General features: G+C 34.4%; 1 protein-coding gene across 8 annotated transcripts in view; it reads left to right on the top strand.

Annotated features, from left to right (window-relative positions):
* Positions 1–25,487, top strand: part of WASHC4 (WASH complex subunit 4) — a 61,400-nt gene extending 35,913 nt beyond the window's left edge. For 3 of the 8 annotated variants that reach the window (NM_001293640.2, NM_015275.3, XM_011538074.3), the window contains 13 exons: positions 644–812; positions 1,075–1,229; positions 2,809–2,883; positions 3,399–3,503; positions 5,972–6,106; positions 8,700–8,808; positions 13,083–13,149; positions 13,593–13,679; positions 16,358–16,505; positions 19,106–19,202; positions 20,468–20,664; positions 20,998–21,097; positions 23,221–25,487. In NM_001293640.2, coding sequence (NP_001280569.1) covers positions 644–812; positions 1,075–1,229; positions 2,809–2,883; positions 3,399–3,503; positions 5,972–6,106; positions 8,700–8,808; positions 13,083–13,149; positions 13,593–13,679; positions 16,358–16,505; positions 19,106–19,202; positions 20,468–20,664; positions 20,998–21,097; positions 23,221–23,288 — 1,512 coding nt within the window. In that variant the 3' untranslated portion in view covers positions 23,289–25,487. Of the gene's footprint in view, positions 1–643; positions 813–1,074; positions 1,230–2,808; positions 2,884–3,398; positions 3,504–5,971; positions 6,107–8,699; positions 8,809–10,944; positions 11,060–11,466; positions 11,832–13,082; positions 13,150–13,592; positions 13,680–16,357; positions 16,506–19,105; positions 19,203–20,467; positions 20,665–20,997; positions 21,098–23,220 lie in introns of those variants that run through there. The other 5 variants (XM_011538073.4, XR_007063060.1, XM_047428593.1 and 2 more) reach the window with 5 other exon arrangements.

Raw genomic sequence — 26,258 nt, forward strand, 5'->3', positions numbered from 1 at the left:
AACAAAAGTAATTTGAATCCAATATGTATGCCCCTCCTTTTGTTAAGGAAATATGTATTATAAACACTGATATCTTTAAAATTAAATTTCCATTTAGTGATATTTTTATTTGGAGGGAGGAATTAAAAATGAGGAAATTTCACAATATAATCCTACCTGGGTTTGATGAAATTGTGAAAAACTTTTTATAATTTCTTGTATTACGTATTCTTATTTAGGAAATAAAATACATGCCTGGATAGTAATTTAGAACTCCTTGGTAGACCAGAAAAGATGATTAATTTTATTACCTTTAGCACAATGAATTTTGTGATTTTTTTTTTAACAGTTATTACAAGGAAGCTTTTTTCTTTTCTCTCTTGCCTGTTCTCATGCCCTTTCCTCCTTTGTTGCTGGTTTCCATAAATTTTATGCTTTAAGTTGCATATTCATGTTCCTTATGATGGTACCATCAATCATTAGTTTTAGATTTTCTTTTCAAGAGTATTAACCTTAAGGTATTGGTGAAAATAAAGACTTAGAATTTATGTAACTGCTTCTGACCAAAAAACTATTGGTTTAAAATGGAGCATAGACATGTAGGGAAACAATACAATTGCAATATCATTTTGAAAAATTAAAGTATCAAATCTTTTGTGAATAGCATTTGCTGGACAAATTATGCAAAGAAATAGAGAAAGATCTGCGACTTTCTGTGCATACTCATTTAAAGCTGGATGACCGAAACCCTTTCAAAGTTGGCATGAAAGACCTGGCTCTTTTTTTCTCTCTGAATCCAATTCGGTTTTTCAATCGTTTCATTGACATTCGGGGTGAGTGTTTTGCTTTCCTTCTTAGAGTCATATTCTCTTTTTTTTTTTTTTTTACCCTACTGTTAAACAAAACTTTGAGGGTATATTTAAATTTTGTGTTGTTATTCTTTAATTACATTTTGTTTCTTTTCTCATTTTTATTAATACCTTATTTTAAAGGAACAAATCTGATGTTCAAGGACAAGTTGTTGTTTTTTCCTTTTAGGTTTCATTTCTTTTCCTTTTCTACTGTTTCACAAGTTGAATTTTTTTTTTTTGGTAGCTTACGTAACTCACTACCTAGACAAGACTTTCTACAATCTAACAACTGTAGCCCTTCATGACTGGGCCACTTATAGTGAGATGAGAAACTTAGCTACTCAGCGTTATGGACTGGTTATGACAGAGGCACATCTTCCCAGTCAGACTTTGGAACAGGTATAGTATAAAATGTTTTTTTTAGCATACTGTGACTGTTGGCTGTAACAGTACTTTTTAAGGAAGTCTTTTTTCTTTTTGCTTTAGTTAGTATGTGCTTATTTTTTAAGAAATTATTTGCCATATAAAATCTTATACTTGACAACAGTAAAAAATTAGGTGCTGCTAAATTGCTTTATAAAGGAATTTACCACCGGGGTCCTGCTTATATTCAGCCTTCTGTTGAGCATTCGAGATATACATATATATTTATATTTATATACAGCTTTTCAGAAACACTAGAATAGTGAAGTGACTTCTGTAGAATTTTAAGAAGTTCAAAGTCACATTTAAGGATTTTAAGCCTGGTTATAGTATATAAAATTTAGTATCTTAGGAAAAATGGTTAAATTTACATGATTACAAATGTGTTTTTTGTTCTTAAAATGAGGAGTATAGGAAAACATTTAGCTTTGCTAATTCAATTAGTTAATGTACAGTATGGCATTGTCTCATGAATGTAATAATTTATGTTATCAGATAATTTGCGTGGAGTTCTCTTTAAGATGATCCAGATAATATTTACCAAAAAACATTTATTCAGTTCTAAAATTTGAGGATTCTAGTTTTCCCTTTATCTTGCTGCATGTAGGGATTATTTCTAGGATCAGTTTGTATATCCTTTCATTTATTTTGTATATCCTTTCATTTATTCATTTATATATCTGATATTTATTGAGAACATGCTAGGCACTGAACTATGTTTAGGAATACAAAGATAAATATAAATAGTCCCAGCTCATGTAATATCCTCTGGGAGAAAAAATGTGTAAACAAATTTTTAGATTAGAATATGATAAAAGTTATAATAAAAACTTAAAAAGGTATTGTGATGCTCCTTTGAGCTCTAATTAGAAAAAACTATGGAACAGTTTATATGATACCATTGGGTGTTAGAGTAATATCTATTTAAAGAATGAAGGATTCTTAATAGAAAACTTGTACTATTTAAAAGGGGTCTGGTGTGATCAAAAGAAGCATAACAGTTTGGAATTAGACTTTCTAAAGTCCCAAGGCCCTGCTGCTGCCTAGCTATTTTGCCTCAGAGAACAACTTCCTTAGCTTCTTTTTTGTCACCTGTGGAATTTAGAAGAATGATACCTCATATTTTAGAATTACATATAAGGAACCTTGCAAAGTACCTGAAAAATAGTATGTATTTTATGAATGTCACAGCACATTCTGACTACCTTTTAGAATCTGGCTACTAGTTTACTTTGTAGAAAAAATGTAGAGAAGATTGTTGAAGAGACAAATATTCTCAAGGCTGGTGGGGAGATGACTGTGGGTCATGGATCTTTTAATATTTAAACTTAACTGTTCCTGTCTGCACAAAAGATAAAGTAATAAGCAGCCAGGTTTCCCTAAGGAGATAGTCTTGATTTGTCTTTTAACGTTTGATCGTACCTTTTATATAGTTCTTTAAAATAACTTAAAAATTATTAGGAAACAGTATAATCAATAAGTCATTATGCTGATACAAGTTTAACTGATTATTTTAATGAATTATAATAAAACTTGTATGTGTATTATGTTGTAGGGCCTTGATGTTTTAGAAATTATGAGAAACATTCATATATTTGTGTCCCGATACCTCTATAATCTCAACAATCAGGTGAGTAGGGTTTATAAATTTTTTTTTTTTAATGTAGGTGGAGATAGTTGGAAGGCTGAGGGGCAAGGAATTGATTTTTATGGGTGAAAATTAAATGAAACAAAAAATAATTGTTTTCGAGGCCTTGTTTATTTTTTTGCCTTGATTATACCAGTTGTGTATCTTTTATTCGAAATGTTTAGGACAAGAAGTGTTTTGGATTTCAGATTTTTTTTTGGATTTTGGAATATTCGTATCATATACCACTTGAGGATCCCTAATCTGAAAATCCAAAATCTGAAATGCTCCAGAATCGTAAACTTCTGACCACCAACATGACGCTCAAAGGAAACGCTCATTGGAACATTTTGGATTTCAGATTTTCGGATTAAGGATACTCACCTGTACTGTCTTGATTGCATTTTCAATTAAATTGTCTTTAATGAAATAGATTCTAAAATTTTCTTTGGATACCTGTTTGACCAGTGTTTGCTATGGGTTGCGTTGTTACTGAGCATAAATTTGTTTCATTGCAGATTTTTATTGAACGAACAAGCAATAACAAGCATTTGAATACTATTAATATTCGGCATATTGCTAATTCAATTCGAACACATGGCACGGGAATTATGAATACAACTGTAAGAACTTTTCTTTGGGGGTTGAGTGGGTAATAGACCCGTTTAATAGCTTGGAACGTGGTTTTCTCATAGAATATTGCGGTAAACATACACTACTAGTTTATATTTTACATGAATTTCCATTTTTTTTCTGGTTAGTAATTAAAATGTCTGGTCCTAAAATTGTGTTGGATGTGATGGGAGCTGTGATACAAAAGACACTTTAGGGTAGATTACCATCTCAGAGCCATCATTATAAATAGTGCTAGATATTTGAGGACATCAGCACATTAATATATGTGTGTGCACACATATATATATGTTTATCTGTGTTGATCTGTGATCCCTGAAAGTTTACTTTTGAAAGTCAACAATAGATAGTAATTTACTTAATGTTATTTATGCCCTTTTTGGGGCAGGGTTTGCTAATTATTTGATGTCCATATAAATAGGAACTTACTAAAAATATATTGAATCTTCTTAGAAATGGGCATTCACCGCTTGGCGTGGTGGCTCACGCTTGTAATCCCAGCACTTTGGGAGGCTGAAGCAGGAGGATCACCTGAGGTTGGGAGTTCAAGACCAGCCTGACCAACATGGAGAAACCCCATCTCTACTAAAAATACAAAATTAGCCAGGCGTGGTGGCGGGCGCCTGTAATCCCAGCTGCTTGGGAGGCTGAGGCAGGAGAATCGCTTGAACCTGGGAGGCAGAGGTTGCAGTGAGCTGAGATTGCGCCATTGCACTCCAGCTTGGGCAGCAAGAGCGAAACTCCATCTCAAAAAAAAAAAAACAAACAAAAACGAAATGGGCATTCACTTGAAGGAATTATTTGAACTCGTATGCTATTTTTCTGTCTGTGGAAAAAGAGAAGTCTTTGAATTTACCTGGTTTTCAGAGCACAGTTAATTTCTCCTTTAGGGGAGAAGACTGAATGCTTAAGTAGTACAGTATTATTAAACACATTTGGAGTAGGGAATTGGGAGAAAATGGAAAGTTAAGTTGGGATCATTTAAGTATACAGTGGAAAAGCATTGAAGATTTTGAGCCAATGAGTGATATGATTGGAGCTCCATTATAGTGGGGTTATCAATATAGAAATGAAACATACAATTTTAAATTCCAAATGAAGAGTCATCCATGTAATGATCATGTTTGTACCTTTGAGGATAAATAAAACTGAACTTTTGAGAGTAAACTCTTCCTTGACTTCTATCATCTATCAAATATTCATGTAACAGATGTGAATGTATTTTATGTGTCAGGGACTGTGCTGGGCACTAGTGTGAGAAAAACACATTTCCTGCTTTCACAGTAATCACAGGGATATAGATGTTCATCAGTTAATTACACTAATGAATGTAGATTACTGATGTCTGTTGATGAAATGAGCATAGAAGGATAGAAATCAGGATGGCAGAATAGTTACCCACTATTAAGAGTGGAAAGGATTAAAAACAAAAGACTGTTAAAGAGATTTTTTTAAAAATGCAAAGAAACAGAAAAAACAAGGAGAGAGTACAATGTTTAAGCTACAAGATAAGTTCCCGAAAATCATTTGTTTCCATAATTGGGTAAATGAATACTGAGTAAAACGGGCACAAATTTGTCAAAATCATTAGTAATACTTGAGAGTTAGTGGGGTTGGAAATGAATTTAGGGTTTTCATTTGTAGGTTGGAATTAATCTTATGCTATTTCTGCCTGTAGGTTGGAATTAATCTTTTGCTATTTCCATCTGTAGGTTAGAATTAATTTTACTGTGCTATTTTGACTTTAATCTCAGCTCATACCTCACTTTCTTAGGATTTTCTGAGTCAAGGGCTTTTTGTTATTTATTGTCAAAGCACACATGTACTTAACATTCTGAGAAATTATTACAGTAGAGATTTAATAATTTATTTAACAATACTTGTTTAAAATGTTTGTCACCTGTTCTAGAATATAAACTTCGTGAAGACAAGGACCATGTCTAGCATGGGAGAAGGCACGTTGCCTTGTGTGTAAGAGGTGATTAGAAATATTTATGGATAGATAATTGAATATGTGGTATCTTCAGGAAGGTTCAGAGAACACCATGTTTCTTACTTTAGTATCATTCTAGACCTGTAGATTAGCAATAAGTAATCTTACTGATGGAGGAACATAGAAACTTCTCACTGGACCATGGCTTAAAAACTAGAGTCTTGAGTCTGGTTTTGTGATTCTCACTACAGCCCTTAGTCCTATCATGAGAATATTTTCCACTTTTTTCTTTTCTTTTTTCTTTTTTAGTAAAAATATGTAAGAGGAGCTTATAGAAAGTTTTGTGAACTTCAGCAATAAAAAATGTTATTTAAATATTTTCAGGTCCAATATGAAATAGACTTTTTAAATAGTACTTTATAGGTAGTACAAATAGATAACTGTGATACAGTAAAATTTATTTGAATTGATTTGAATTAATTTTTATATTAACTTTTTTCAACTTTTTGAATTTTAATTTTATAGGTTAATTTCACCTACCAGTTTTTGAAAAAGAAGTTCTATATATTTAGCCAATTTATGTATGATGAACACATCAAATCCAGATTGATTAAAGATATTCGATTTTTCAGGGAAATTAAGGACCAAAATGATCATAAGGTAGGCTACCTATTCTTTTTAAGGTATTTGATTAAGCTATTGAGTATATGGCAAATGTGTATGCTAAAATTCATTATTTAGATCTCTATTGGGGTTTTAGTTTTATTTTCCCTATAATTTCTTACTCTGCATTATCTGTAGGCTTAAGGTAAGGAAAAAATTAAATCATAAATGTAGCCAGGTGATACTTTTTCTTTATTTTAAAATAATATAAAAGCAGGACATGCTTATTTTGAAACATTTAAGCAATATAGAATGGATAAACTGAATATCCACCTTCATTTCTCTTTCCATTCCATTTTCTGGAGGCAGTTGCTAACAATGTAGTGTGATGGCTTTCAGATATCTTTGTATATAAACATGTATATTTACACACATATATTGCTTTTAAAAGCAGTATAGTAAAAATGGAGTAATATTATACATAGCATTTTGCACTGTGCTCATCACGTCAGTACATACAGATCTGCTTCAAGTTGATAGGGATACATCCATGTATATCATAACTTATTTAACCTTCTTCTGTTGACCATTATTTAGGTTTTTCTAATTTTTCATTCTTACAAACAGTGCTGCAGTAACATCTTTACACATCTATCTCTGTAAATCTCAGACTTTCTGAAAACTTCCTTAAGGAGAAATTTCTAGGACAAGGAAATGTGAACATTTAAAATTGTGGTACATATTGCCTAGCACTCCAAAAACACTTCACTATTGATATTCCCACTGATAATTTATACGAATGCTGCTGTTAGCAGGGTGCAGTGGCTCATGCCTGTAATCCAGCACTTTGAGAGGCTAAGATAGGTAGATCACTTGAGGCAAAGCATTTGAGACCAGCGTGGGCAACATGGCGAAACCTCATCTCTACTAATAATACCAAAATTAGCCGGGCATGGTGGCACATGCCTGAAGTCTCAGATGCTCAGGAGGCTGAGTGTATTAGTCTATTCTCATGCTGCTATGAAGAAATACCTGTGACTGGGTAATTTATAAAGGAAAGAGGTTTAATTGACTCACAGTTCTGCATGGCTGGGGAGGCCTCAGGAAACTTATAATCATGGCGGAAGGTACCTCTTCACAGGGTGACGGGAAAGAATGAGTGCCCAGCGAAGCGGGAAGCCCTTACAACCATCAGATCTTGTGAGAACTAACTCACTATCATGAGAACAGGGTAGGGGAAACTGCCCCCATGATTCAGTTATCTCCACCTGGTCCCTCTCAGGACATGTGGGGATTATGGGAACTATAATTCAAGATGAGATTTGGGTGGGGACAAAGCCAAGCTATATCACTGAGGCACAAGAATCACTTGAACCTAGGAGGTGGAGGTTGCAGTGAGCCGAGATAATGCCACTGCTCTCCAGCCTGAGTGACAAGAGCAAGACTCTGTCTCAAAAAAAAAAAAAAAAAAAAAAAAAGAACGCCGTTTTCCTTTCACCTTCCAGGCTGAGTTTTCCCATAGTGAAGTGAAGTGAAGAATCTGTTGAATTGTTAAGTGGCAGCAGGCGCATGTAGCCATGTGGATTGAGAACCAACAGGCTTAGATGGGTCCTATATTTGATTTGCCATATGCGGAACTATTTTAATTACTTTTCTTAAGATACACCTATTTCCAGTTCTCTTGTATAATGGTTGCTAGTTCTCTTCAGTGCCAGAGTAGCAAAATATTACTTTCTCATAGGATAATCTAATAAAATTACAGATTACATTTATCAGTAGAGGATTGTATTAACTCTTTTTTTTTTTTGAGACTGAGTCTGGCTCTGTCTCCCAGGCTGGAGTGCAGTGGCACAGTCTCAGCTCACTGCAGCCTCCGCCTCTTGGGTTCAAGCGATTCTCCTGCCTCAGCCCCCTGAGTAGCTGGGATTAAAGGTGCACACCACCACACCCAGCTAATTTTAGTATTTTTAGTAGAGATGGGGTTTCACCATATTGGTCAGACTGGTCTTGGACTCCTGACCTAGTGATCTGCCTGCCTCGGCCTCCCAAAGTGCTGGGATTACAGGCATGAGCCACTGTGCCCAGCCCAGCTCATTTTTATTGGAGCAGAAATTCCTAGTATTTAGAGATAAATATTCATGCTATTATGTAAGAATTGCTTTCTTATTATTACAAAATGAATAATTTCCTAAATCTCCTAATCAACCAAGACCAAAAAGTAGTTTTTTTATTGGTGATGGTTACTAGAAATTTTAACCCAGCTGACGTGTGTTCATTGAGAAGGAGTATGTTTCTAAGTCCCTAATACCTATTCAGCCCACAGAAACTTGGTCACACATCTGTGAACAGGTGTTTCTGGGAGGAATTGGTTTCTTTTTTCTGTTAGAGTTGTTGGAGGTTAGGAGACTAATAATTGTGGTAGGGAAATTAGGTTAGTGGCATTGATTATTAGTCGTTTTAGCTAATGTCAAAAAGAAAAAAGTTATATTGACCTTGAACATTGGTAGTGTATGAATTATTAATCTTAATTAATTTTTAAGCACAATGAAATACAAAATTGAAAGGAGAGTAGTATTGGCATGGTTTATTTGGGAGGCATTTTGTGCTTTAGAAATCTTTATTAAAAGTAGCCTTAAAATTTTCTGTCTAGTATCCTTTTGATAGAGCAGAAAAATTCAATCGAGGCATCAGAAAACTTGGAGTAACACCTGAGGGACAGAGCTACCTTGATCAATTCAGGCAACTCATCAGCCAGATTGGTAAGTTATGATAAAAGTGTTGGGAAATCAGGTACAGATCCCTACAGTCTATCTCATATATTAACTATTTCACACTAATAAGCAGCTCATGTGAAAGCCTGAGCTCAGCTTTACTCCACTCATGTAATTTTTTTACCCCCAAAATTTGTAAGTATGATTAGACTGTTGCTGCAGAAATAATTGATAGACTATAGGCTAATCACGTAAATAAAACCTCTTCAATTATAATTAAAGTTATTTAATAACTAAATCTCAAAGGTCATATTAATAATTGTAAACTGGTAAGTACTTACTGAATACCTGCTCTGTTCAAGGCACTGTTTTGGGCTTCTAAAAGGCTCCCACAAGTTCCAGTCTAAATGTGAAGGTATAAAATATTTACATGAAAAGTTATTAAGTTCTATGTTACACCATTTTACTTGTGCATATAATGTATTGTCCTTCTGCCCTTACGAGTGGAACTTGTCTTCTGATATGTAGTACTTTTATATTTAAAAGTAAGAACTACATTTCATAATCATCGCTTAACAAAACTTTATACTTATTTGAGCTTTTCACATACATTATATGTTCACAATAACCCTGTGAGATAGGCATGTAATCGTTTTAAAGATGAAAAAAGAGAAACTTAGAGAAAGAAGTAAGTCATGTTTCTGGGACTTAAACCAGGGTTATTTAGCTATAAGTCCAAATGGGTTTTATATTCTTGAAAGTTTATATTAACACCAAACAGTAAAATCTTATTGACTATATTTTGGGAAAATTCTGCCTTGTGAGATTGATTTATTCATTTATCAAGCATTTACTAAGCATCTGTTATGCCACATTTTCTGTTAGGTGCTGGGAATACCAACCCCTTTGCTTTCAGGAGACTTTAGGTTTACTAGTGGGTAATACGTTATAAGCATTTCATTCTGGAGTAAAGTTTTTTCAGTTAATTGATTTGCATATTAGACATTTCTATTATGTTTTAGTACAAGAACTTGGAGGATTTTACCTTTGTAAATGTTTTATTATAAACCATTCAATATTAAGTATTGTCAAATAAGTACAAATAAGTTTTCTTCAAGTGGACATTTAATATTAAGCGGCAAACTTATGGAGCAATAGTTCTTAACCTTTTTTGAGAATCTGAGGAAAACTCCAGGATGATTGTTCCAGAACTAATGCCTATATGACATACGTACACAATTTTGTGTATGATATGCTAGAGTCCATGTGCTTAAAGCTTGGGTCTATGGACCTCAGATTAAGAGCTGTCCTTCTAGAGCAGTGTTACTTAAGTTTTATTTATACACATACCCAGAATTTTTGCATCCTGTTAATACTGCCTTCACTATTGTTACATGTTTTTATTTTTTTTGAGAGTATAATTTTTCCTTAGAAATAACAGTTGTTAAATCATAGTCCTTAAAATGCTAGTCATTTTTGCCCTAAATACATAATCACTAAGTGTTCTTTGGTGTGCCATCTAATGTCACCTTGCTTACCACCAGGTTGCAGTCCACAATTGGGGAATATTATCCTTTTCATTTTAATCCATCGTTTTACTCTTTATTCTCTTCTTAGAAAATATAAATTCTTTTTTTTTTTTTTTGAGACAGAGTCTTGCTCTGTCACCCAGGCTGGAGTGCAGTGGCATGTTCTCAGCTCACTGCAACCTGTGCCTCCTAGGTTCAAGCGATTCTCCCGCCTCAGCCTCCTTAGTATATGGGACTTCAGGTGCATGCCACCACGTCCAGCCAAGTTTTGTATTTTTAGTAGAGATAGGGTTTCACCATGTTGGCCAGGGTGGTCTCGATCTCCTGACCTCGTGATCCATCCGCCTCTGTGTCCCAAAGTGCTGGGATTACAGGCGTGAGCCACTGCGCCCGGCCAATACAAATTCTTTACCTCTGCTTATAAAACACTGTAATGTGCTTTTGAGTCTGATAAATATCTTGAGAAAAGGTGTAAAGAATCTGGGAGCAAAATGGAAGCCTTTTTGACTAATAACTTGCCTGCTGAAATAATAATAATTAACATTTATTGAGCATTTACTGTGCCATGGCTATTCTTAGTGCTTTATATGTTTTAACTCACGTGAATCTTACCACAACATTTATGAAATATTTCTTCCCTTCATTCACTGCACAGGTATTCATTCAGTACAACAAATGTTTCTAGGTGCTGATGATATTTATGACAGTAAACAAAGTCTCTGTCCTTATTGAGCTTAATTTACCAGATGAGAAGACTGAGATACAGAGAGGTAACATAACATAATTTGTAGGTCTCTTAGCTAACATGTGGGAGACCAGATTTGAACCCAGGTGGCCTGGCTTCAGAGCTTTTACTCTTAATTGCCGCTCTATACTAGGCTCTCCTATTTTGCTTCCTCAGACTTTGGTCTGATGATTTGGAGGAAAACAAACTTGTCATTTGACTTTTTAAAGATGCACATTAAAAAAATTTCAATGTCATTTCTCATATTGGGACAGGCCTTAAAATAGATTCAATGTTAACTGCTATGTAGGGTTGTTAAAAACATAAGATAATGTATGTAAAATGTATGTTACTCATGATTATGAAATGTTAACTTGTTTTTACATTTCCGTCTGTTCTTTCAAGTAATTTCAATAAAGTTCAATTATAAATTGAATTCCTACTATTTGCCAGGACATGTTGGCTCTAGGGATGGAGCAGTGAAGAAGACAAAGGCTGTACTCATGGATCTTGAACTCTAGGTGGGGGAAGATGCAGACAGAAAAATACATAGTATGTCAGTGATAAGTACTGGGTAAGGAGATGTAAGGGGGCTGGGCAGTGCTAGTCAGTGATGTTCAGGGAAAACAGGAGGTGACATTTGAGCAGGGACCTAAATAAGGTTGGGGAGTAAGCCACGTGCATCTGGGGAAAGAGTCTACCAGACAGAGGCAACAGTAAGTGCAAAAGCCCTGATTCGTTCACATTTTTGAGAAATAGGGGCTGGAATGGAGTGAGCAAAGATCTAAGTGGCAGGGCATGCTATCTGAACAGTAGCAGAGGGGTGCAAGATCGATGTCAGGATTTTGATTACTGAGGGTGGAAAGCCATTACAGCATTTTCAGAAAAAGCATGATATGGGGCCGGGCATGTGTGGCTCACACACTGTAATCCCAGCACTTTGGGAGGCCGAGGTGGGTGGATCACCTCAGGTCAGGAGTTCAAGACCAGCCTGGCCAACATGGTGAAACCCCATCTCTACTAAAAATACAAAAATTAGCCGGGCGTGGTGGCGGACGCCATGTGATCACAGCTACTTGGGAGGCTGAGGCAGGAGAATCGCTTGAACTGCAGAGGCGGAGGTTGCAGTGAGCTGAGATCATACCACTGTACTCCATCCTGGGTGACAGAGTGAGACTCTGTCTCAAAAAAAAGAAAAAGCACTATACGCTCTAACTTAGTTTTTAAAAATTCACTAGCAGCTCTGTAGATATTATACAACACTGGGGAATGTGGCAGGATGCTAAAGGTGAAAGTAGGGAAATCAGGAGGCCATTGCATATTGCAGTGCTCCAGCCAAGAGCTGGTGATGGATTGGATAGGAGGATATCTATGAAGGGGTGAATGAAAAGTGGGTGGATTCTGGCTACGTTTTCAAGGCAAAGTCAATATAATTTGCCCAGTCATTTTGATTATAAAATGTGAGAGAAAGGAGCCAGGGATGACTTTAAGACATTTGGCTTGAGCAACTGAAAGGATAGAATTGCCAGTTTCTTTGATAGGCAAAATTGGGGATAAAGATCCTGAGCTTGAGTTGGACATATGAAATATAAAATTCTTATTAGACATAAAAGTGTAGGCATCGGATAAAAAAACCTAGAGTTCAGAGGAAGAGTCCAGGCCAGAGATATAAATTTGGGAGGCATCAAATAAAGATTTCTTGATATCACTTCCAATTGTGTATGTGGCGGAGATTGAATCTCAATGTGAGAGGAGAAATTATTGATATTATAATTTTAAGCTTGACCATTTTAATGTAGTCAGCATTTAATGATTTTAGTTTATCAAATGAAAATAACATTTACTTTTAAATATTTAATATAGTTATATATAAGTATGTATGTTTATATTTTAAGTGTAGAAATATGTAACAGTTTTACTTTTTATGATAAGAACTGAAGTAAAATATAGCAAAATATTTTGGTTCTTAGGAGTGGAAACCTTGTAATTTACTACTGTATGTAACTATATTCCTATTAGAATTTAGAGTTATTTATATAAATATCTGATTTTTTTGTGTGGTTTTTAAGGTAATGCTATGGGCTATGTACGAATGATAAGATCTGGTGGTCTTCATTGTAGCAGCAATGCCATTAGGTATGGATGCAAACATCATTTTTGCCTTGTTTATGCCATTTTAAAAATTGTGTCCATTAAATATATGTTACAAGTGATATTGTAGATAAGGTGTTTGTTCTTGATATATTTTGAGATAAAATATGGAAGAAAACTATTAATTCTACTAGATTTTTCTCAAATTTTAAGACTGCAGCAGACTTCTGAAAATATTTCTCTTAAGTTAATTTATCAATATGGTTTATGAATGCATGTAAAGATTACATGATTTTAAGGATTAAAATATTCATATCTAAAATTCAATTTGGAACTAAAGTGGTGATATGAATAATATTACTGAAATGCACAGTTGTTTCCAAATACATAGTTGAAAATTTTAGAGTCCTGCAGTACCACTTTTATATCTGTGTCAATTGCACATATTTTACTTGACCTAATAAATGCCTTCCCAAATTCTTATGTAGATTTGTTCCTGATCTTGAAGATATTGTAAATTTTGAAGAACTAGTAAAAGAAGAAGGTCTTGCAGAAGAAACATTAAAAGCAGCAAGGTAATCTAAATTTGGAAATATAAAAAAGTGTGTTTATAAAAAACATTCTGAAGAGAAGACCAGAGGGTAATATGTAATTTTTATGCCACTGTTTTTATTATACAAAATTATGGCCTCAGTTTATGAAGTATAATTTTTAAGACTTCAGTATTCTAAGACCTTTCCAGCTTCTAGAACATGCTGTCCAGTATTTCAGCCACTAGCCACACATGGCTCTTGAGCACCTAAAATTTGGCTGGTCCACACTGAGATGTGCTCAAGTATAAAGTACATAACTAACCTTGAAGATTTAGTATAAAAGGAGGAATGCCAAATACCTCAATCATAAAATTCATTTCACCTATTTTCTTTTTACTTTTTAAAATATTTCTCTTCACCAACAGTGTTCTAGAATGCCAGTCCTTTCTTATATGTAATCTATAGCAGCACTGTAGCCACTACCATATATGGCCGGTAAACACTTAAAATATGGCAAATGCGACTGGGGAATTGAAGTGTAAATTTTATCTTAATTTAAATTTAAATAGCTAATGTCTGTCTTATTGAACAGTGCAGGACTTGAGTCAGTTGTGCATTTGTCCCATAACACGAGAGGCATGCAGAATTGGTAAGAATATGTTTAGAAAACTGTATGTTTTATTCACACTTATAGCAGGTTATTGAATCAGGCATGAAGGGGCACCCCTGGGCAAGGGGGAGACAATTTGATCAAAAAGAATAATGATAGATAAAAATCTGTTGAATAAAAAAAATCAATGAGTCATAATGATAAGAAGGGTTATCATAAGAAGATCATAATGATAAGAGAATGAAAGTCATTTCTTTATGGAAGAATGCTTGTTAAATTTAGGGGGGAAATTGTAACCATCACTGTAATACTTGAAATCAAGCAAGAATCCCCAGTGGTTTCTAAAACATTAGGTGAAAAGTTTTTAGAGAACAGAGGATTCATTCAGTAATTCATCCCATAAAATTGCTTATTAATTACAAAGGAGAAAACTGTCTTTACAGTGGAGAAATATATTCCACCTTGGCCAAGTGATCAAACTTAGCATCACCAGTAATGGAGCAGACAGATGTAATGTGGCCTCTTGATGCAATGTAATGTCAAGTACCTAGTTTGTATTCTTGCCAGAAATGTTTATCCTGAATTTATTAGGAGGAAATGTCCTGAAAAATTTAGAATGTGAGCATTTTATGAAACACTTGGCCTGGACAAAAAATACACGGAGATTGTTCTAGATTAGGAGAATAAAGAGACCTGATAATCACATGTAATGGGTGATACTTAATCATATCCTAGATAAGGAAAGAAACAGCTGTAAAGGACATTTGAGGAATAATTGGGGGACATTTGAACATGGATTGTATATTAGTTAATACTGTATTATATTCTTGGGTATAACAGTGTTTTGTGGCTTTGTAGAAAAATGTTTTCATTCTTAATAGATTCATGCTAAAGCATTAATGGGCTAAGTGATAAAAGGTCCACAACTTTCAAGTGTTTCAGAAAAATAGAGAAAACAGTTGTGTCAAAATGTTAACAAGTGGTGAATCTAGTTGAAGGGTATACGGGTGTTCATTATACTATATTTTAACTTTTTGATAGGCTTGAAATCTTAAAAAATAAAAAAGTATATGGGAAAATGCATGCATTTCTGTGAGAATAAGGCCCCAGCACAGAAGCTTTGCTCTGGAATAGTCTGTTAGATAGCTTAAGCTCTTTGCCAGATTACATAAGCCATTTACAAAGTTAAGCCATTTGAAGTCATGTGCCTGAAAATGGTTTAAATAGTTTCTGATGTGTGTCTCAAAGGAAAGGATCAGACCTTTACCTTATGTTAAATGATGCCATTCACTCCGAAAGTGTTGACCATTTAAAAAATATTTTGAAGCAGTGTGAGGAAATCAGAGAGTAGGATATTGTCTTCTAAGATCTCTAGGGTAAAGCTGACTGCTAGTTGGAAGATCCAGATTGGTGCAAGGGAGTGGTTGATTGAAGTCAAGGAAATGTAGGGTCATGATAATGAATAGATTATCTGCATAGACAGGGGAGAACTGGAGCAGGCATCCTAATCCTGCGTAATTGTAGGACGGTGGTTAAAAGGTTAGTAGATGTCTGCTGTTAGGAAGAAGTAGTTGAGTATTTGGGTAGTTAGATATAGTTGGATTATGTGAGTCACAAAGGAAGATTTCTTTCTTACAGTGGTGGAGGAATAATAATTGAAAGTGGTAGTAGCTGTACATGAGGGATGCAGGAGAAAAAGCAGCTGATGTTTTTGAAGGTTGAGAGGGAAACTGAGTTCTTGAAAAAAAGAGCCAGGTTTATGTTGAGGTAAGGGGATGTAGGAGAAACGTTAGAGATTTAAGGGGAAGAGGAAATATTTACAATGAAGAGGAGTTCTACAGGCCTCACTGTGGGAAGAAGAAATACAGAACTATTATTTTAAGTCCCAAGATGTTCTAATAGTCTATTTTTGGGACTAAATTTACTAATATTGATCAGTTTTCTGTCCATGAGAAAATAAGTTTATTCTGAACTCCAAGAAAATTTTCTTAGAAGTGTCTTACAGTGTTTCCTGCTTTTCAAGTGTTCTTATCTAAACTATTGAGAGATGGATTTTTTTCAAAGCCACGCTTCTTTTGAGAAAGGAACCAAATAATTTTTTGCTTTTTAGGCATTTGGATTCAGTCCTCAGTGATCACACACGAAATTCTGCCGAAGGCACAGAATATTTCAAAATGCTTGTAGACGTTTTTGCTCCAGAATTTCGAAGGCCAAAGAATATACATCTCCGAAATTTCTATATAATTGTTCCCCCTCTGGTGAGTATTTCCAGAACCTAAAATGAATTTTTTTTTTAAAAAGAGTATGCACAAATAGATCTGGTTTCTTTGTAACACGAAATGCATACAGACTACACTATTAATTTCCTGGTTGCATATAAAACTAAATGTGATCTCAGTGAATGTGACATAGAATTTTTTATTTGTTAGCCATGCTGAAGGACACTTTCTTATTGTTAAATTTTTTTTTTCTTCTGAGATGGGGTCTTGCCCTGTCACCCAGGCTGGAGTGCAGTGGTGTGATCATGGCTTACTCAGGCTTGACCTCCTGGGCTCAAGCCAGCCCCCTGCCTCAGCCTCCCTAGTAGCTGGGACTACAGGTGTGCACCACCATGCCTAATTTTGGTAATTTGTTTTCTTTTTTAAGATATGGGGTCTCACTGTGTAGCCTAAGCTGGTCTTGAACTCCTGGGCTCAAGCAGTCCTCTTGCCTTGGCCTCCCAAAGTGCTGAGATTACAGGCATGAGCCACCACGTATGGCCTAAGATAGATTCTTATTTTTTTTAAATAATTACTGGAGAAATTTGAGTATTTTTTAAGTTATATGAGTATATGCCATAGAATCTTTGGGCAGAATTATTAATATATAATCATTTTAAGTGCTTAATGTAGAATAACTTTAGCTGTTATTATAGTTTTTTCTAACACATTTCTTAAAGCATATTGTTTCAAGATAACTTCTTTCTATTCAGTAGTAAATACTAACATCTGGACTAAATTTTTAATGCTTCTTAGAGTATGTAACGTGTTCTTGCTCTAACTCTGTAGTTGCTATCTAAAAATAGTTCAAGTTATCAAAAATTGCATTATAAAAACAGCTGTTCCATTAGGGAAAATGGAGTTAAGAATTTTTGAGAGGTATATATTAGTAATAAGAGTTGTTTTGGCTTAAGGTTCCTATAAAGTTTAAAAAAAATTGTAAGTAGATAGCTTTAAAATCTAAATATCACCCAGCAGATGAAGCTCTTTATTATATTTAATTTTGATCAAGAATAGTGACTTTTCATATTGCTGCCCAAGTTGTTAACACATCTTCTTACATATTAAAACCATTATTACCTATTGAAAGTAGCTAATAGCCTATAAACAGCTTTTTTCCATGAATTTTGTTTCTTTTATACATTTGTTAATTTTCTATCATAATTGTATTTTAACTATGATATAGCAAAAAATGTTCATATTCATCTTGTAAGAATCTTTTCATCTTAAGATAGTGTCAAACTGGAGGGAGAGTGTCATATTTGGTAATACTATAGTTAACTTGGGGTGAGTTCTCACCATATTTTTTTAATTTGAAGGGCAATGTACTCAAACCATTGTAGACAGCAGTTAACCCATTGGTAAGCTTAGGAAAAAGTCTGGAGTTTTACAAGGCAGTTGTCAGAATTCGCTTAGTGATGGAGAAAACAAAGTGGATTAAAAGCACTACAAAGAAGTATAGAATACTGTTCTTGTACTTGTGTTTGTAGTGTAGTTCCAGAAAAAAGACAAGCATAAATGAGATTTCTAAAAAAGATTGAATTAATGATTGATAAAAAATTCACAAACAGGTGATTAATTGCTGAATAAGTTTCACAGTCAAAAAAATGAAACTTGGTTTTGTTTCCAGCGTAGGCTATTATAGTACTTAGCACACTGTATATCATAATTAGTTTTTAAACACTTCTGCATTTACTCTTCTAGAGCTGTGCTATCCATGTATAGTCACATGTGGCTACTTAAGTTAATTAAAATTTCATAAAATTAAAATCATAAGGCAGGGCGAAAAAAATAAAAATACCTTTTTAAAAATTAAAAATTCAGCTTGTCAGTCACACTAGCCTCATTTCAAGTGCTCAGTGGCCGCTTGTGATTAGTGGCTTACTGTATGTACTGGATGGTGCAGATACACATTTCTGTCCCTGCCAACAGTGTTGCTCTAGACTGTGAACTCTAGATAGAAATCATTTGTTTAATCATAAGTACTTAATAATGCCTGGTATATTGTAAGCTTCAGTAAATCTTTGTTGAATAAAAGATATGATTAGATAAGTCATTTTGGAAGAGCTGAATTTTCAAGAGACGTACTGTTTTGAGGATTCACACTTAAGAACATGAAAAGAAATAGTATTTTCGAATGAATTAGGTAGGTGTAAGTAAGGACTGTCTTGCATATGTTTTTAAGAGTACTTGTGCTTTGAAATAAAGCAGGCCTACTTTGCTAACTCCAGCATTCACTTAATATATGACTTTGGGTGAGATAATAAATCTCCCAAGCCTCGGTGTCCTTCTCTGTAAAATGTGCATAATATTTTATAATGAGATATACAAGGCACTGTTCTTGGGCTAAGTAGTGATTGAGGGAGTGCCCATATTTAAAGGACTTGGAAAGGAGATCCATGAAGATACACTTGTATAGATTGTATCTTCACCAAGAGGGTACCTAAGGCAAATGTTTCAGATGAAAAGGACAGGAATCTAGATTCTATTCTATTCTATTTATAGTGATTCTATTTATAATTTTTAAAATGTCTGTTATAGGAATTCTGAAGATTTTCTTAGCAAAATTGTTTTTCTAACATGTTGTTACATCTTTTTAGACCCTCAACTTTGTAGAGCATTCCATTAGTTGCAAGGAAAAATTAAATAAAAAAAATAAAATTGGAGCTGCCTTTACTGATGATGGCTTTGCCATGGGTAAGCTTAATGGAATTGTTTTTCCATTAATTTTATATTGACCTTGTAATGGATTCTTAGAAACATCTGCTTGAGAATAGGTCTATATGTTCTTTATAGATTTTTCTTTCTTTTTTCTTTTTTATTTTTTTGAGACAGAGTCTCGTCTCGCTCTGTTGCCCAGGCTGGAGTGCAGTGGCACGATCACTGCAAGCTCCGCCTCCTGGGTTCACACCATTCTCCTGCCTCAGCCTCCCGAGTAGCTGGGACTACAGGCACTCGCCACCACACCTGCCTAATTTTTTTTGCATTTTTAGTAGAGACGGGGTTTCACTGTGTTAGCCAGGATGGTCTCGATCTCCTGACCTCGTGATCTGCCCGCCGCAGCCTCCCAAAGTGCTGGGATTACAGGCATGAGCCACCATGCCCGGCCTATAGATTTGTTTTTCATGAGTGTTGTTTACCGTGTTTTTAGCTGGAATACATGATTGACGATACTTGTTTTCTGTAGTTTATAACTTATTGAATGCCTTCTTAGTATTGCTAATCACTTGTCCACTTTGGCCTAATATTTAGGCTTTGTTTTTGTTGGGGTTGTACAGTTTTAACGTCTTATATTTAGTTTCTCTGGTTTCCTTGTAGCTTCCTCAATTGCCATCTTTTTAGCAGTTGAAGTGTTTTTTTCCTTTCTTTTTGAGGCAGGGTCTTGCTCTGTCACCCAGGCTGGAGTGCAGTGGTGCAGTCATGGTTCACTGCAGCCTCGACCTCCTGGACCCAAGCGATCCTCCCACCTCAGCCTCCCGAGTAGCTGAGACTACAGGCATGCATCGCCACATCTGGCTAATTAAAAAAATTTTTGTTTTTTTTAGAGACAGGAGTCTCACTGTGTTGCCCAGGTTGGTCTTAAACTCCTGGGCTCAAGAGGTCCTCTAGCCTCAGCCTCCCAAAGTATTGGGATTATAGGTACAAGTCATGGAAAGTTTTATTCTTTATGCTTACAGCTATATCGTTTCTCCTGGTGATTTATATGGCCATGTTAGTTATTTATTTTCTTCTTAATTGACTTGTCTTTAGTTATACTTCTACATTGTTTTTAAAGGAGGAATTAAGCCATTTTGTTAAACCCATCATTCATTTATGCTGTAAAATGTAACTTGAAACGGGACAAACTTAAAATGCTAGGAATTATTACTCAGAATGCTTAGTGTTGGGAATTATTGGTGAAGGAGTAGAATACCACTTCTGTACTCACTGTAATTTAACCTTAGTTTTGCTTATGCCTGCAGGTGTGGCTTACATTCTAAAGCTTTTGGATCAGTATCGGGAGTTTGATTCACTTCACTGGTTCCAGTCTGTTAGAGAGAAATACCTGAAGGAGATAAGAGCAGTTGCTAAGCAACAGAATGTACAGTCAGCCAGTCAAGATGAAAAACTCTTACAAACCATGAATCTCACTCAGAAGCGACTGGATGTCTATCTACAGGTAGAGAGGAGCCTAAGAGTCACATCTGCTTTGACTTACCATTTGATATCCATGACTTCTTAATGTCTGAAAAGCAGAAGCCATATAGAAACTACCATTTTCACAAGTGAGATGAATAGTGGCAAAAAGATTATATTTTAAAATGAGTGCTATTTGGAAGCCATTTGACTCACATCTTAAAAATGGGCGGGTTACTTATTTCAGTTTCTGTATTTATGATTTCCACTAGAGCTTTTAAAAATAATAATAAGAGGCATAAAAATGCATATATTTTTGGTATTTTGCCATAATAAGTATTTTTGGTTTTTATTTCAAATTTTTAAATTTACTTAGGAATTTGAATTGCTGTATTTCTCACTGAGCAGTGCAAGAATTTTCTTCAGAGCAGACAAGACTGCGGCTGAAGAAAACCAAGAAAAGAAAGAGAAGGAAGGTCAGTGAGTGGTTTAAATTTGGAAAGACCAATAAATGTCTTTAGTAATAGACAGTAATGCACCATTTTATCTGGTCAGACATCTAGCTTCTTTGTCCTTTTGGAAAATAACACAGACCTAGCATTAAGTCTTTTAAAAAAAGTAAAGCCTGTATAGATCTTGTGTGAAATTGAAAAGGAATTTATGTAGTTTATGCATTTCACACTTGGTAACCCTTTAAAACCTTGTTCAGGATCATCTGCTTTTAATTTAAATACACTTTTCACAAGTTTGGTTTTTCTTTCATGGCTCAAACTATTAGATTTGAAGGAACAAATAGAGGAGGACAGCTAAATGTTGCTGAAGGCAGAGCTGCTGATGACTAGATGTTGACTGAATGAGATGGGACAGATGATTAAAGAACTGTAAAATCATAGGGGCTATTTAGTTGTAGTAAATAGCATCCTGCCTTCTTTCATAGTCAGGCCCTGGAGACTCAGGCAATATAGCCATAATAACTGATAGTGATTTCAATGAACTTCAGTCATTAAGGAAAGGATTCTGTCCATTGTATTCTATGTAGGATGGTGGAAAGGAATCTATACTTTTTAAGGCGTAAGAGCATTGTTCAGTGTTTCATATTTAATGTCCCCATGATATATTTCTCTCAGATTTGAAATTTAGGAATAATCATCTTCTCTGAGAAACAGATGTTTCCCTTTTTCTGTCATGGATATTATATAGCATACATTTCTCATTGCTTGGAAGATCAAAACTAGATACAGCGACTAGTTAACCCTTATAATTTTCATGTTTACTAGTCTCCTTTTTGTCTTACTCGTGCTTCATGAAGTTTTCATAAATCAAGATATAAAGCTCTTCATAAAACAAGATGTTTTTATTAATCTTATTTTATGTTAATTTTTAAAATACACCTTTTTTCTTTATATAGAGTAGAGGTGACTCATTGGGTAGACCACTTACGTGAACTACCTTATTTCTTGACATTGTTGCATAAATTAAATATTACTAATATTACTTATTAATTAGGTGCATATCCAGGCGTTTTTTGAATCTAGACTAAATAAACATGCTTGAAAAAATTGTTTCAGCTTATTAATCTGGAAGACACTCAATATTAAATGAAAATTTATACATACTACATTTGTGTTCATTTTCAAGGATAAATTAGCAAAGCCATTTGGAAGAATTTGAATCAATATAATCTAAATTATGAAGAAACTCAGTTATTGCCTCAGTTCTGCTCATGTGTTTCATGATGCCAGAACCTTTTCCCCAGCCCAGGTGACTGGGAAAACTCTGCGGGGCGATTGGACATTTGCTTTCAGGCTAAAGCATTAAAACAAAACAAACAACCCTTCAGTCTCATGGCAGTGGGATTCCTTGCTTTGGCCTATTCCTCTTAAGGAACTCTCCAGAGTTGCAGTTGTTATGTTATCACTCACATCACTGTTCTAAGACTATTTCAGCTAAAGATTGCTCAGAGATATAGTCAGTTTCTGAATACATTACTCAAATAGTCTTTGTCTGTTAATGAAATATGCACACATGACATTTTGCACAAAAAGCCAGGAATTCATTCTGTCAAAAACAGTGAAAAGCTGTTTCATTTAAAATTATTTTAAGAAATAATATATATTACGTATAATTTATTATAATAAGTTATAAATACAAATGGAAAGTTATTCATTCTGGACAGTTTTGATATGTGAGTTTGCAGCCATGTTCCTACCAGGAATGACAATGTACTGTAATGGTTCTTTCTTGGCCCAGCTGGAGGAACTGGCGTGAGGGGAGCGGGCCTTTCTTAGACCAGGAATATCAAGATTCCTCAGGACAAAGGAGCCCATGTGGTTTGAAGCCCCACCCCAATACAGGTTCTGAGCTCCCTCAACTCCACCTTCATTAAAAACCAGTGGAAACAATTGCAGTGTTTAGCCTAGATTTTTAAAAATTTTAAAGTGTAAACAAGGTATAATTTGTGATGTTAGAGAAACATTTGATGGATGCAACTGTAATTTGAAGTTTGGCAATACAGCTCTTCTCAAATTTCTTTTACTTCTTAATTTATTGTTTAAAAATGAACATAAATATCCATTATTATTTTCACTCATGCTTTCAGAAGAAACTAAAACAAGCAATGGAGACCTGTCTGACAGCACTGTGTCTGCTGATCCTGTTGTGAAATGATACGGATGGTATTCACTGCACATATGATGAAATCATCAGAATTGTTAAAACTTTTGCCAGTGGAATGGATAAACTATTGATGAATTGTTTCCTGGGTCACATCTCTGGAAAATAGATGTTACAGTTCTTAAAGGCAGTGCTTTAAAGTGAAGTTCATTCTGTTTCCAAAGGCTCTACTTTCAAAGGTTAAGAATGAGATTTTAAAATTGGATTTTTGCCTGGACTTGAGGGTACAAGATGTTTCTATTTGAAGTGAAGTTATAAAAGGGCAAATCCAGATTCATAAACTATCACCTCGGATTTCTTGTAATCTACATGTTTGTAATTTGTATTTGCATAGATCTTTGATCTATAGTTATTTCAAGTCATGGGAAATTCAATGCATATACTATATACAGCCAGTAAATACATGCTTAACAAAAGGAATGAGCCTGAAGTTCATAAAGAATACATATCAATATTCTTATAAAAGGAATATATGAAGATGGCTTTGATACTAGAGGTGAGGCACAAGTGTTTTATGTACTCTCAGTGTACAGTATAACTGATGATCCTTCTTTCATTGTTAATTTCATGTGACTCACAAGAGCTGCTGATGTCTTTGATGAGACATTTTATAACTAGTTTACATTGCTTTGAGAACATTTAACCTCCAACAGCTGCTTTAAATTTAAGATTTACTTAATACTCAGAAAATTCAGATAAAGCCATAGAGTCCTGTTTGAAGCTTCACTTCTATTTTGGTTGAAGGCATGATGTATGATGTCAGAAAAAAAATTGAATGAATTATTTCTACATCCAAACTCAGGTTTCTTCTACATTAGATTGAATTGAAATTTTGGTGATGGTTTGGGTAGACTTTTTTTTTATATCAAGTATAATTTAAAACATCAGATTAAATAATTACACTGTTCAGGCTTTTAAAAAAATACCACTGTGAGAATAAAGCGCTAGCAAGATACATCACTTACTGATTTTAAAAATACAGAAAGATTTTGAGTAAATTTTGTGCCCAGCAAGCTGTTAGTTTTATTTTTGTAAAGGTATGTAAGTTATTAAATGGTTAATCATGGCCTTTTAAAAATAAAATAAAGTGATACCTTTACAATGAAGACAAAAGTTTAAAACTTTCTAATACAAACACCATTTTGGGAAATGCTTGATTTTTTTCTATTGCATTTGTCTGCTAAACATTTCTTTGGATAAATCCTGCAAATACTTCTAACATTATTCTTTGATTCCAGCTTTTAGAATGGGTGTACAATGCCCTGTTTGTACTTACTGGTTAGGGTCAGGGTAACTTGCCAGCCCAAGATAAATACTTTAATTGTTAAAAGTCAGAAGAGACAGAATATGTAGGAAATGTTTTTTGTTTATTATGTAAACATGGCTTACAGAATTATGAACAGTGGATAGATTAAAGGCATTTAATATTTGTAATTCATAATAACTGTAGAAATGGCCCTAAAGCATGCTGCATAATTAATAATTTATATTTTCATTATTATAAGTGTTTATATTAATGATCTTGCATTTGATTATATCAAATTCGTCATTTCATAGCAACAGTATTGTTTTCTCTGTTTTTCTTCTCTAACTTCTCTGAAATCATCTCCTATTAAGGGATAGAAATTGTTACTAGAAGAGAATCACATGTTCTGTGTTCATTATCCCTACACATGTAAATTAATTATTTTATCAATACTAGATAGAGTTCACATGCTGACTCCCTGGATACCTACAGTTGAGAAGAAAATGACAGACAATTATTTTTCCTTTAGGTCAAAATAATGTCACTGCTATCTGGATAAATTATAAGTTCATATATTTGAAATAAGATCCTGGAAACGAATTTAAATGGTGTCAAACTGCAGAGCAACAGGGCTTCAGTATATTCACATCTAATAGGTTAATATGTACATTTGGATGATGATTTTTCTTGATAACATTAACATTAATTTTATTTTTTCAGACATACTGTAATTTAAAAATTAATGTGAGCGTTTGTTTTAAGTTCACAGAAAACTTAATAATTCAAATTCTCAGGAATTAAGGACTCACCATAACATTGTCAGTTCTAATGAAATTTTGTAAAAGATGGCAAGTTTGTTACCTCACTTGAGTGGGGTTTTCCTTTTCCCCCAATTCTAAGAGAATATAATGTGTATACTAAAACATTAATAAACATAATTTTGAAAATTTCCTTCCCCTGGATGTTTATGTTCAAAATTGAATGTCGTAAACCAGTAGTTCTTAATATTAACCTTTTTGGGGTCCCCCTTAATTGAATGAAATGAAATCTGTGGAATCATTTTTTTATAAAATGCATGCACATAGGTAAAAATTTGAAGTTTAAAATTGGCTCCTGTCAATGTATTCCAGGTGAAAGAAAGGTGTTTTCTTTCCTTTATACATCCTTGATCTTTCCAGAGCTTTTTTCCAATAAAAAGAACCAATATGAAGTTACTTTAAATCCTAATCCTGGAAAGGGATTATCAGTATGCATTGTTTAATGTTAGTAATAACTATAGTGCTATTTGCAAACCTGAGTTGAACTAAAACAATACAGTAGTCTCCCCTTATCCGTGTTTTACTTTCCAGTTTCAGTTACCTGTGGTCAGCTGTGGTCTGAAAATATTACATGGAAAATTCCAGAAACAATAAGTTTCAACTTGTGTGTTATTCTGGGTAGCATGATGAAATCTTGTGCTGTCATGCTGCATCCCGCCTGGGACGTAAGTCACCCCTTTGCCCAGCATCTTCATGCTGTATGTGCTACCTGCCCATGAATCACTTGGTAGCTAGGTTGTCAAATCAATAGTGTTTGTCTTCAAGTAAGCCTTATTTTACTTAATAATGGCCCCAAAGTGCAAGAGTAGTGACGCTGGCAATTCAGATATGCTATAAGAGAAGCCTTAAAATGCATCCTTTAAGTGAAAACATGAAAGTTCTCAATAAGGAAAGAAAAGA

Source organism: Homo sapiens, chromosome 12 (genome assembly GCF_000001405.40).
Source record: "Homo sapiens chromosome 12, GRCh38.p14 Primary Assembly".
Lineage (NCBI taxonomy): Eukaryota > Metazoa > Chordata > Mammalia > Primates > Hominidae > Homo > Homo sapiens.